Below are 14,230 nucleotides of genomic sequence, written 5' to 3' on the forward strand. Positions count from 1 at the left end.
ACTTTAAGGATTTTAAAATAGAGGCCCAGAGACTACCCTAATTCCAGGTCATTACAATTGGATAAGAGGGACTGCTTTAGTTATCAGAGAGCATGGAGGGGAAAGTATCTGAGGTTACCAGATGGTCCTAAACTGGCAAGCTGGACACAGAGGATGAAAGACATTCTCTGTGGTCACTTTTACCCTTCCTAAATGGTTTATTTGTATTGAAAACCTTTCACTTTCACAGTGGAATAAGTGCCTGGGCCCCAGGTGACTATCCGCAGATCTCTAGAGATAAAGGGAGAGGATTTAGATAATATATACTTTGCATGAAATCAATATTTGTTGGGGAGAGGACATCCATCTCAGCTGGGCCAGGTGCCTCGCTGGCAGCCGCTTAGGGAGGGCACTAAACACGGCAAGCACAGCGAAAATAAGACCTGGATTGAAATCTCCATCTGTGGGAGGAGGAGCCAAGATGGCCGAATAGGAACAGCTCGGGTCTACAGCTCCCAGCGTGAGCGACGCAGAAGACGGGTGATTTCTGCATTTCCATCTGAGGTACCGGGTTCATCTCACTAGGGAGTGCCAGACAGTGGGCGCAGGACAGTGTGTGTGCGCACCGTGCGCGAGCCGAAGCAGGGTGAGGCATTGCCTCACCTGGGAAGCGCAAGGGGTCAGGGAGTTCCCTTTCCGAGTCAAAGAAAGGGGTGACGGACGCACCTGGAAAATCGGGTCACTCCCACCCGAATATTGCGCTTTTCAGACCGGCTTAAGAAACGGCGCACCACGAGACTATATCCCACACCTGGCTCAGAGGGTCCTACGCCCACGGAATCGCGCTGATTGCTAGCACAGCAGTCTGAGATCAAACTGCAAGGCGGCAACGAGGCTGGGGGAGGGGCGCCCGCCATTGCCCAGGCTTGCTTAGGTAAACAAAGCAGCCCGGGAAGCTCGAACTGGGTGGAGCCCACCACAGCTCAAGGAGGCCTGCCTGCCTCTGTAGGCTCCACCTCTGGGGGCAGGGCACAGACAAACAAAAAGACAGCAGTAACCTCTGCAGACTTAACTGTCCCTGTCTGACAGCTTTGAAGAGAGCAGTGGTTCTCCCAGCACGCAGCTGGAGATCTGAGAACGGGCAGACTGCCTCCTCAAGTGGGTCCCTGACCCCTGACCCCCGAGCAGCCTAACTGGGAGGCACCCCCCAGCAGGGGCACACTGACACCTCACACAGCAGGGTATTCCAACAGACCTGCAGCTGAGGGTCCTGTCTGTTAGAAGGAAAACTAACAACCAGAAAGGACATCTACACCGAAAACCCATCTGTACATCACCATCATCAAAGACCAAAAGTAGATAAAACCACAAAGATGGGGAAAAAACAGAGCAGAAAAACTGGAAACTCTAAAACGCAGAGCGCCTCTCCTCCTCCAAAGGAACGCAGTTCCTCACCAGCAACAGAACAAAGCTGGATGGAGAATGATTTTGACGAGCTGAGAGAAGAAGGCTTCAGACGATCAAATTACTCTGAGCTACGGGAGGACATTCAAACCAAAGGCAAGGAAGTTGAAAACTTTGAAAAAAATTTAGAAGAATGTATAACTAGAATAACCAATACAGAGAAGTGCTTAAAGGAGCTGATGGAGCTGAAAACCAAGGCTCGAGAACTACGTGAAGAATGCAGAAGCCTCAGGAGCCGATGCGATCAACTGGAAGAAAGGGTATCAGCAATGGAAGATGAAATGAATGAAATGAAGCGAGAAGGGAAGTTTAGAGAAAAAAGAATAAAAAGAAATGAGCAAAGCCTCCAAGAAATATGGGACTATGTGAAAAGACCAAATCTACGTCTGATTGGTGTACCTGAAAGTGATGTGGAGAATGGAACCAAGTTGGAAAACACTCTGCAGGATATTATCCAGGAGAACTTCCCCAATCTACAAAGGCAGGCCAACGTTCAGATTCAGAAAATACAGAGAACGCCACAAAGATACTCCTCGAGAAGAGCAACTCCAAGACACATAATTGTCAGATTCACCAAAGTTGAAATGAAGGAAAAAATGTTAAGGGCAGCCAGAGAGAAAGGTCGGGTTACCCTCAAAGGAAAGCCCATCAGACTAACAGCGGATCTCTCGGCAGAAACCCTACAAGCCAGAAGAGAGTGGGGGCCAATATTCAACATTCTTAAAGAAAAGAATTTTCAACCCAGAATTTCATATCCAGCCAAACTAAGCTTCATAAGTGAAGGAGAAATAAAATACTTTATAGACAAGCAAATGCTGAGAGATTTTGTCACCACCAGGCCTGCCCTAAAAGAGCTCCTGAAGGAAGCGCTAAACATGGAAAGGAACAACCGGTACCAGCCGCTGCAAAATCATGCCAAAATGTAAAGACCATCGAGACTAGGAAGAAACTGCATCAACTAATGAGCAAAATCACCAGCTAACATCATAATGACAGGATCAAATTCACACATAACAATATTAACTTTAAATATAAATGGACTAAATTCTGCAATTAAAAGACACAGACTGGGAAGTTGGATAAAGAGTCAAGACCCATCAGTGTGCTGTATTCAGGAAACCCATCTCACGTGCAGAGACACACATAGGCTCAAAATAAAAGGATGGAGGAAGATCTACCAAGCAAATGGAAAACAAAAAAAGGCAGGGGTTGCAATCCTAGTCTCTGATAAAACAGACTTTAAACCAACAAAGATCAGAAGAGACAAAGAAGGCCATTACATAATGGTAAAGGGATCAATTCAACAAGAGGAGCTAACTATCCTAAATATATATGCACCCAATACAGGAGCACCCAGATTCATAAAGCAAGTCCTGAGTGACCTACAAAGAGACTTAGACTCCCACACATTAATAATGGGAGACTTTAACACCCCACTGTCAACATTAGACAGATCAACGAGACAGAAAGTCAACAAGGATACCCAGGAATTGAACTCAGCTCTGCACCAAGCAGACCTAATAGACATCTACAGAACGCTCCACCCCAAATCAACAGAATTTACATTTTTTTCAGCACCACACCACACCTATTCCAAAATTGACCACATAGTTGGAAGTAAAGCTCTCCTCAGCAAATGTAAAAGAACAGAAATTATAACAAACTATCTCTCAGACCACAGTGCAATCAAACTAGAACTCAGGATTAAGAATCTCACTCAAAGCCGCTCAACTACATGGAAACTGAACAACCTGCTCCTGAATGACTACTGGGTACATAACGAAATGAAGGCAGAAATAAAGATGTTCTTTGAAACCAACGAGAACAAAGACACCACATACCAGAATCTCTGGGACGCATTCAAAGCAGTGTGTAGAGGGAAATTTATAGCACTAAATGCCTACAAGAGAAAGCAGGAAAGATCCAAAATTGACACCCTAACATCACAATTAAAAGAACTAGAAAAGCAAGAGCAAACACATTCAAAAGCTAGCAGAAGGCAAGAAATAACTAAAATCAGAGCAGAACTGAAGGAAATAGAGACACAAAAAACCCTTCAAAAAAATCAATGAATCCAGGAGCTGGTTTTTTGAAAGGATCAACAAAATTGATAGACCGCTAGCAAGACTAATAAAGAAAAAAAGAGAGAAGAATCAAATAGACACAATAAAAAATGATAAAGGGGATATCACCACCGATCCCACAGAAATACAAACTACCATCAGAGAATACTACAAACACCTCTACGCAAATAAACTAGAAAATCTAGAAGAAATGGATACATTCCTCGACACATACACTCTCCCAAGACTAAACCAGGAAGAAGCTGAATCTCTGAATAGACCAATAACAGGCTCTGAAATTGTGGCAATAATCAATAGTTTACCAACCAAAAAGAGTCCAGGACCAGATGGATTCACAGCCGAATTCTACCAGAGGTACAAGGAGGAACTGGTACCATTCCTTCTGAAACTATTCCAATCAATAGAAAAAGAGGGAATCCTCCCTAACTCATTTTATGAGGCCAGCATCATTCTGATACCAAAGCTGGGCAGAGACACAACCAAAAAAGAGAATTTTAGACCAATATCCTTGATGAACGTTGATGCAAAAATCCTCAATAAATACTGGCAAACCGAATCCAGCAGCACATCAAAAAGCTTATCCACCATGATCAAGTGGGCTTCATCCCTGGGATGCAAGGCTGGTTCAATATATGCAAATCAATAAATGTAATCCAACATATAAACAGAGCCAAAGACAAAAACCACATGATTATCTCAATAGATGCAGAAAAAGCCTTTGACAAAATTCAACAACCCTTCATGCTAAAAACTCTCAATAAATTAGGTATTGATGGGACGTATTTCAAAATAATAAGAGCTATCTATGACAAACCCACAGCCAATATCATACTGAATGGGCAAAAACTGGAAGCATTCCCTTTGAAAACTGGCACAAGACAGGGATGCCCTCTCTCACCGCTCCTATTCAACATAGTGTTGGAAGTTCTGGCCAGGGCAATCAGGCAGGAGAAGGAAATAAAGGGTATTCAATTAGGAAAAGAGGAAGTCAAATTGTCCCTGTTTGCAGACGACATGATTGTTTATCTAGAAAACCCCATCGTCTCAGCCCAAAATCTCCTTAAGCTGATAAGCAACTTCAGCAAAGTCTCAGGATACAAAATCAATGTACAAAAATCACAAGCGTTCTTATACACCAACAACAGACAAACAGAGAGCCAAATCATGAGTGAACTCCCATTCACAATTGCTTCAAAGAGAATAAAATACCTAGGAATCCAACTTACAAGGGATGTGAAGGACCTCTTCAAGGAGAACTACAAACCACTGCTCAAGGAAATAAAAGAGGACACAAACAAATGGAAGAACATTCCATGCTCATGGGTAGGAAGAATCAATATCGTGAAAATGGCCATACTGCCCAAGGTAATTTACAGATTCAATGTCATCCCCATCAAGCTACCAATGACTTTCTTCACAGAATTGGAAAAAACTGCTTTAAAGTTCATATGGAACCAAAAAAGAGCCCGCATCGCCAAGTCAATCCTAAGCCAAAAGAACAAAGCTGGAGGCATCACACTACCTGACTTCAAACTATACTGCAAGGCTACAGTAACCAAAACAGCATGGTACTGGTACCAAAACAGAGATATAGATCAATGGAACAGAACAGAGCCCTCAGAAATAATGCCGCATATCTACAACTATCTGATCTTTGACAAACCTGAGAAAAACAAGCAATGGGGAAAGGATTCCCTATTTAATAAATGGTGCTGGGAAAACTGGCTAGCCATATGTAGAAAGCTGAAACTGGATCCCTTCCTTACACCTTATACAAAAATCAATTCAAGATGGATTAAAGATTTAAACGTTAGACCTAAAACCATAAAAACCCTAGAAGAAAACCTAGGCATTACCATTCAGGACATAGGCGTGGGCAAGGACTTCATGTCCAAAACACCAAAAGCAATGGCAACAAAAGCCAAAATTGACAAATGGGATCTAATTAAACTAAAGAGCTTCTGCACAGCAAAACAAACTACCATCAGAGTGAACAGGCAACCTATAACATGGGAGAAAATTTTCGCAACCTACTCATCTGACAAAGGGCTAATATCCAGAATCTACAATGAACTCAAACAAATTTACAAGAAAAAAACAAACAACCCCATCAAAAAGTGGGCGAAGGACATGAACAGACACTTCTCAAAAGAAGACATTTATGCAGCCAAAAAACACATGAAGAAATGCTCATCATCACTGGCCATCAGAGAAATGCAAATCAAAACCACTATGAGATATCATCTCACACCAGTTAGAATGGCAATCATTAAAAAGTCAGGAAACAACAGGTGCTGGAGAGGATGTGGAGAAATAGGAACACTTTTACACTGTTGGTGGGACTGTAAACTAGTTCAACCATTGTGGAAGTCAGTGTGGCGATTCCTCAGGGATCTAGAACTAGAAATACCATTTGACCCAGCCATCCCATTACTGGGTATATACCCAAAGGACTATAAATCATGCTGCTATAAAGACACATGCACACGTATGTTTATTGCGGCACTATTCACAATAGCAAAGACTTGGAACCAACCCAAATGTCCAACAATGATAGACTGGATTAAGAAAATGTGGCACATATACACCATGGAATACTATGCAGCCATAAAAAATGATGAGTTCATGTCCTTTGTAGGGACATGGATGCAATTGGAAACCATCATTCTCAGTAAACTATTGCAAGAACAAAAAACCAAACACCGCATATTCTCACTCATAGGTGGGAATTGAACAATGAGATCACATGGACACAGGAAGGGGAATATCACACTCTGGGGACTGTGGTGGGGTCGGGGGAGGGGGGAGGGATAGCATTGGGAGATATACCTAATGCTAGATGACACGTTAGTGGGTGCAGCGCACCAGCATGGCACATGTATACATATGTAACTAACCTGCACAATGTGCACATGTACCCTAAAACTTAGAGTATAATAAAAAAAAAAAATTAAAAAAATAAAAAAAAATAATAAAAATAAAAAAAATCAATATTTGTTGCAGAACATCTAAAATCAAGTTCCCTGGTTAATAAAATTCAGGCTGTGCAAAAAAAAAAAAAAAAAAAAGAAAGAAAATCCCAAATTGCTACACAAAAGAACCTGAAAATGACTGTACATAATTCAATAAAATATTTGTTTTTTCTAAAGAAATCATGCAAGGTTTCTTTAAATATCAAAATGCTCTTGAGTAAATAATAAAGAACTCAAATTATAAACCTAGAAGCAAAAATAATTTTGCAGAAACTATCTATTTTATAAGAGAGATTAAGACACTCCTGGAGTGCTTACAGTGGGGAGTTTTAAAAAAGGAAGAAAACAATCCTCTGGCGAATAAAACAGAGAGAACATGATGAAAAATGGCTGGGCACGGTGGCTCACACCTGTAATGCCAGCACTTTGGGAGGCCAAGGCGGGTGGATCACCTGAGGTCAAGAGTTCGAGAGCAGCCTGGTCAACATGGCAAAACTTCGTCTCTACTAAAAATACAAAAATTAGCTGGGCGTGGTGGTGGCCGACTGTAATCCCAGCTGCTTGGTAGGCTAAGGCAGGAGAATTGCTTGAACCCAGGAGGCGGAGGTTGCAGCGAGTCAAGATCGCGCCACTGCACTCCACCCTGGGCAACACAGCGAGACTCCATCTCAAAAAAAAAGAGAAAAGAAAAACAACAGCAACAACTAAACCCTCAAGCCACAGACACAGCTTGCACAAATAAGCACTGGTCAACACTGCATATTAATCCTGAATGTAAGAAGAGATGCTAGGAAAGGATGACAAAGTCATGTAGAATGAGGAAATGTGTGCAGTTCAGCCCCCATTGTGAAGACCTGACACTGAGTCTTCCTGTCTTGTTTGTATTCCCCAGCACCCTATTAGGTGATGATCATTCTAGATACAATTCCTTCAGACTAATTCAGTCTCAGTCGTGACATTTTGACTCCTGAATCACTTTTCTCTTTTCCTTGTTCCTGACAGTGAGCTGTCATTTTACCTGTATTTGGCCTGTTACCTGAACTCTCCATAAGCCACCAAGAAGCAAAGGTAGCAACTACAGTTACTAGGGTGGTTATTGTCTTGGTTGTGCGGGAAACAGGAGCAGCCACACAGACCAATTTTAAAAGGATTATTGTCAGGATATAGAGAGATTATCCTGTCAAAAATCAACAGAAGTTATATTTATGTTATTCACTTGAGGAGAAAGGCCATCTTTTATCTCCCTGAGCACATTTGTTTTCAATGTAAAGTAATATGGAAAAAACGAATGTAGTACTTAATCAATAAGATGAGAAGGAGAATATTTTTGTCCTCTGAAATCTTGCTTCAAAAACATTGTGACCAATACGTCCTATGCGTTTATATCTATTTGGTAGTATTACTATCACTCTTTTGATTTATTCTTATAGAGTAGCAGACAGAAGCAGAGTTATAATTCTGTATTTCAGAACAGTCTATCTTGCTAACAATGAAACAACTCTTCTTTCTCCTTCTTGCACTCCAAAATGAGGGGAATGTTTCTTCCTAGTTTGTGTGATAATGCTATCTTAGATCAGGTTCTCCCTTAAGCAGACCCTCACCCCAGGATTTAGATACAAATGATTTATTAAGGATGTGCTATCAGAAGAGTAAGGGGTAGAAGAAACAGGATTGGGAAGGGGGCCAAGGCAAGCAAGGGTATGTCTCATGGAAGACCCAGGCTCAGCCTGGTCCTGCAGGAAGCTGTAGAGTGAAAATTACCCTTCAAAATTTCTCCATCTACAGGTAAAGGAACAGAGTTTTGGTCCTCCCACACCACTTAGTCACTGGCTGGAAGATGCCCAGAAGGAATAGCAAAGGACTCTTCCACGCTTTTCCAGCTCCCATGCTGGCTCCACTGCCTGAGGGCAACCCTCTGAAGGTCATAGGAGTGAGTTATTAGCAGCAACAAATGGGGAAGCTGGAGGATGGACCCAAAGGAATCTAGGCAGGGCACCGTGGCATCTGCTAGAAAGGGGATTTATGCTTTCCATTACTCTAACCTGAATTAGAAAGTTTCCCTTCTTCTTACATCACTATCAGTGATCCATATTCTATTTATAATCTCCTTTTGAGGATTCTCACTTTAGAGATCTGCTGTTTGACAGTTTAAACTTCAAGACTTTCTCCCATACTGTAGCATCTCTTATCCTGCAGCCTGTACAGTATAAAGCATTGTTATAATCAATCTGTGTCAAAGAACACAGCACAAGCATTCTCCAATCCATAGGTGAAGGGCAAGTTGTGGAATCTGAGAATGGAAACTCTTGAAGGTGTTTTATTAGAGGAAGGACTGGAAGAGAGGAAGATTGAGCTATCTGAAACATGTGTATTGTCTTCATAATGGCCTAGTGCCAAAAGCACCAAAGCTGTGCACTGCTGAGTGTTTGGAGAGCATCCCGAGAGCTTCATGAAGCTCTCACAGATACTTCTCTGCATGACTCCCAGAACCCCAGCTTAGGGTCTGAGTTGGCTCAGGCCCAGGAGAGAAGACAGGACAGAAGCTGGAGTAAATATTCTTGAACCCTTACTACCAAGAATCATAATTCCATCATGGATGAAGAAGACCCAGGGATGCTGGCCTCTTGGACACAATTTGACATCTTATGCCCATACAGCACTCTGTGTTTTTTAAAATAATGAGCCAAATTATGTATAAGCAAATTATACATTTTTTTCACTTATTCTGAGCAGAAAGATCATCCCAACCTGTATATCTCCCTTATGAAAATTATTAAAAGAAGGAAATGGTTATTTTTCCATTGTGTGTATACAAAATCTAGGAAAAACTTGCAGATAAAGATAACACTTGGGGACAATGAATTATTTATTAGCTCTTTGCTTGAACTCTGAAATCTGATCAAAGAGGAACTTCTGACACTTATTCTATTAATTATGAATGACAAATTTTCAAGCTTTCTGCTAAGAGTATTATGTGTTACAAATCAGCCCAATCCCACTTGACTTTTTCCTCTGCATAGCAGTGGGCAGAGAAGCTCTTCCTCCCCTGCTTAGGAGCTTCTCCATGCCCAAATTCTTCCCATCTTTCAAGACTAGTTGAAATGCACTTTCTTGAAGAACACCTCCCAGATTCCTCCCATTGTGATCGATCTTTCCCCAAATGATTCTTCAGTATCTCCATGATCTCACTTTTGTTCTCTGACGTGTGCACTTAGCTATCTTCCTGTCTCTCATACAGATTTTAAGTTCTTATTCATTTTGGCATCCCCATTACACCTAGAAAAAGGCTGTACATGTAGATCTCCTTGAACATTATTGAATTGAATTTACATATTTTAAAAAACTGTTTTGAGCCCTTACAATGTGCTTACTCTGTACTAGACACTGGAAGAAAATGTATATAAAAAGATGAAAACAAAACAGTTCTTAAACTTTTCATTAAGGGTTAAAGACAGCCACATTTTTTAAAAAAGAAAAAGATTATAATAAGGTTTGCTAAATTTCAAAAAAGTACCATAGGAGTCCACAACTCCCTGTGAAAAGGTCAATAGGTGTCATCCCCATAAAAAGGTAACGAATATGAGGCTGATAGATGATGCATGGTAGCCATGGGTGTCTGGACCAAAACAGTACTGTCAGGCTTTCAGCATTCCTTCTACTCTCCATGGGGAGTCTGCACTAGGCAAGGATCAGAGGGTATACCCCTGGGAAAAAGGACACATGGCCAAGAACTCATATAGATTACTCATATAGATTACCTGTTTAAGAAAACAGGATCTTAGACTAGGTAGCGTGAGGGGAAAAAAAACGAAAGAAAGAAAACAGGAACCAAGCCTTTGAATGTGGCCAATTTTAACTTTGAATGTGGGCAGTGCAGGCAGTCCTAAAAGATCCCATGATGCGAATTCAAGGGCCAAAATACATGAAATTCCACCAGTATTTATTGCTTTGAGTTCCTTTTAATGTGGTTATCTGTTACAAAGCAAATACTCTTAATATTTTAACACAGCAAGTAAGCTAATGCATATTCATTGCACTAAGGTGCTTTTCTTCCTTGGGGGAACCATGATCTCGGTGAAAATACTGGGAAGAGATTTTGGTGAATACTAAATACTTTGTGAAGAGTAAAAAGGGGTGAAAAAAGAAGGAAGGAAGGAGTGTTGTGTGCCCAGAGAGAATAACAAAATATAAGATCTAAAGATATTAAGAGAAGCAAACATTGTAGTTTTTTGGAAAACAGAAAGATTAGGGTAATTTGGGGACTTTACAGTAAAGAAAAGCACAGGAAGTTATACTGGAAGAAGAAAAATATCACAAAAATTAAAGTTTTCTCTCTTACAGCAAGTTGGAGAAAGGTGAATTGTGGAAGTGAAAAATAACTATGTAGGAAAATAAAAGAAAAAACAGGCATGTTCACCAACCCTGAGTAGTTTTCCATGAATTCACTTTCAGTAAATTAAATTCTGTTCTATCTCTTCAGAACTGCTACAGAGCTCAAAACACTAAAAGATCAGTATTACTCTGCCCATAGCCTCTTCTGTGGTATTTTATTCTACAAACCTTTAGGGGAATTCTCTTTGTGTTTAAATGGCAGGTTGTAATTTTGTACCTCCATGATGGCAGCTTGAGAGAGAAGAGAAAGCTGTTTTACACTACCTCCTTATGCCAACACTGACGTATCTCAACCTTGTGAGCCCAAAGAATTAGTCACTGTGGAATCTTCATTACAACACAGCTAATGAGTAAATAAAATCAAGAGAGAAGAAGATAATGTGGTTAAATATGTGCTAGGGATGGAAAAACAGAGAGAGGGACATTAATCCCACTTATAGGGTTTGGCTTTAAATCAATTCATATCATGACATTATGAGCAGCTGTTAAACATGACCATCAAAAGTTTCACTAGAAAACTCTTCAGCTTGATACGAGATTCTGAGAGAACCAAACCATGAAAGTACTTAAGTATCATTAACAACAGATTTTGGTAAAATTTTACGCCAGAAGGAAGTCTTTTATAGATTTCTCCACAGGCCATTATTGAAATAGAAATTCAACCATTAAGGTCAGCAAAGATGGGCTTATCCTGTTGCCTACTTCAAAGCTGTCACTGGGTTTTTTGCAGGGACTACTTCTTGCTTGGCCTAAATTCAAAGGCCACTTTCTCAGGGCAGGTGTGTTCAGCAAGAATAGAATTGTATGCACACTCCAAATAGACAATTCTCCCTTAGAAGCCAAAAATGTAGTGCTTTATATCCTTGAAGTGTCAATAAAGGCATGCATTCTAGGCAGTGAAGCAACAGCATGTTTGATGTTTTAAAAAATAGATATAAGCCTTGCAAAAAAAAAAATGGAGACTACTAGACCAAATCAGCCTGTACTTTTCAAATATGTCCAAAAAGTCTTGCTATTGACATTAGCCATCTTGGTGCTGGACTGTCCTAGGAGGAGCTGGCAGCCACCTGGAAGAAGGCCAATGGGAGTGTTGGCATGCATCCTCAAAACACTGCTTTTTAACCCTCTCTTCCCTCCCCAAACCTCCAATCTCACTTCCATCTTTCTTACTGTTAGCCGATAACCTTGCCGCTAACTCCATAGAGAAGTTAGCTCTTAACTTTCTATGGGGGGAATAAAACAATAACCCTCATCTAAATTTACCTGCATCTTCATCCATCTCTTTCTCTTTCCTTTTTTATATTAGTAAACGTGTCCTTCTCCCATCAGAGGCAGTCTCTCCGTATGTTCTCTGGATCTCCCCTTCTCAGCAACATATCTAATGCCTTCCCCATCTCTATTCGCCTTCCAAGGTGAATCCATCCAATCCCGTGACTTCAGTAATCATATAGTCACTGATGAATCCCAAATTTGCATCTGTAAGTGTGACTCTGTTCTGGATTTCTACATGACTTACTTGACAGCTCCACTTGGATGACCTGCTCTCAATAGGAGTTAAATGTGAGTTCCCTACTCAAACATTTCTCTCCCATTGGTATCTCTGACCTCAGCGAAATGCATAGCCCTCCACTCAGATGCTTAAGCCAGTAACTTGGAGAACTCTGTCACACCTCACTGACTTTTGTCTCCATGTCTAAGAATATATTACCAAGTTCCAAATTATGTCTCAGATCTACTCTCTATAATTCCACTATCATTATTATAGAACCATCCACAACTATCACTCTCCTGGACTACTGCAGTGGATTCCTAACTCATCTCCACCATTTATTTCTGCTTCTTTTTTTTCTGCCAATCCATTCTCCATACAGCAGCTTATCTGTCCTTTTTGAAAGAAAACACCATCCTCATTACTCACCTTGAGCCACTCAGTGGTATTTCACTGCACACGAGTGATGCCATAGTGCACGTGTTTCTGGTGAGCTGTCTCTGTGTGCCACTTCTGGCTCATCTCTTGACTCACTCCTAATTCCTTCAGTGACTTTCTTCACTCTGGTCCTTGAACAGGCCTGGCTTTTTCCCACATCATGCACACAGGAGATTTCCCCCTTTTTGTTAGCCTAACTCCTATTCATCCTCAAGATCAGAGCTTAAATATCATTTCATCAGGGGATACTTCAAAAGTATTCCCCAATTTTCATGCCCCCACTCCACACCCACCTTTTCAGTTAGATCCTGCTTTTGGAATACTTTCTGTTTTCTCTTCCTTGTGTTCATCAAAATTACATTGCCATTTTTGTTCATGGCTATTTCTCCATGTCTATCTAGTACAGGGTTTGGCACAAAATAGATGTTTAATAAGTATGTGAATGATGGATGTATGTATGGATTGATGAATAGATGAATGGATGGATGGATGGAGGGATGGATGGATGGATGGAAGGAAGGAAGGATGGACAATGGTATGTTCCCAGCTATCATTTTTGTAGTCAGCAAGTTGGAATATATTCAAGAAACCTCAAAGAATGATTTGAAATTCGAGCTAAAGTTTTCTTTTTAAGACATTTTTTATTGAGTACCAAGCCAAGTTCTACCAGAAAATAATGATGTGAACAGGGAATTAAAATCTTTGTTTCCCAATAAGGACAATGAGACTGTATCATCTGATCTCAGGACAATCCGATCAGGTGATAAACCAACTGAGAGTTTTCCTTACTCAATAACAAAACACCTGCATGGTACACCAGTCCATACCAAACACCAAAATAATGCCTGGTATCTCTCTGAGAATATGCTTTTCACACCTTTGATCAGTCTTTCAATCAATCAAAAAGGGAGAAAGTTCAAATCACATATTTTTCTGCCTTAAGCATTAGAAAGAGCCTTTGTGGATTTCTCTATTTCATCATAGTACTACGTCTCAAAGGGCAGACCCCAGACCACTTGCAACAAAATAACAAGGAAAGTTTATATACAGGAAAGCTCTCACATTCTACATAAGACCTACTTCCGTCTGTGGAGAGAGCCGAGGATTTTAGTAAATCCTCAGATAAACTTGTGCCCTCAGAAATTTGAGAACAATTGGTCTAGAGGTTGTCAGTCCCTGCAGAAGGGCGTATAAAAATGTTTGTTTCAACTGAGCAGCCTCTCAATTCAATTTCTTTTGACCTATCAAAAGAAAATCTGTTAAGAACCACACAACTACAAAAGGCAGCTTAATTTAGGTTATCACACAGCTATGAAAGGCAGCTTAATTTACTTTAAAATTTGAATTTTTTAGAAAGAGAAATATAACATTTTTCACTTCACATGTTACAGTGGTGAAACATAAGACTGGGA

At 40.7% G+C, this 14,230-nt stretch overlaps 1 annotated feature.

Moving 5' to 3' along the window:
* Nucleotides 692-1,235: an enhancer, noted in NCBI's record as "OCT4-NANOG-H3K27ac-H3K4me1 hESC enhancer chr7:97243215-97243758 (GRCh37/hg19 assembly coordinates)". NCBI's record gives its function as "activates a minimal SCP1, AML or CMV promoter by ChIP-STARR-seq in naive H9 embryonic stem cells {active_cell/tissue: H9 hESC(naive)}" and the evidence as "EXISTENCE:reporter gene assay evidence [ECO:0000049][PMID:30033119]".

Source organism: Homo sapiens, chromosome 7, assembly GCF_000001405.40.
Source record: "Homo sapiens chromosome 7, GRCh38.p14 Primary Assembly".
Classification (NCBI taxonomy): domain Eukaryota; kingdom Metazoa; phylum Chordata; class Mammalia; order Primates; family Hominidae; genus Homo; species Homo sapiens.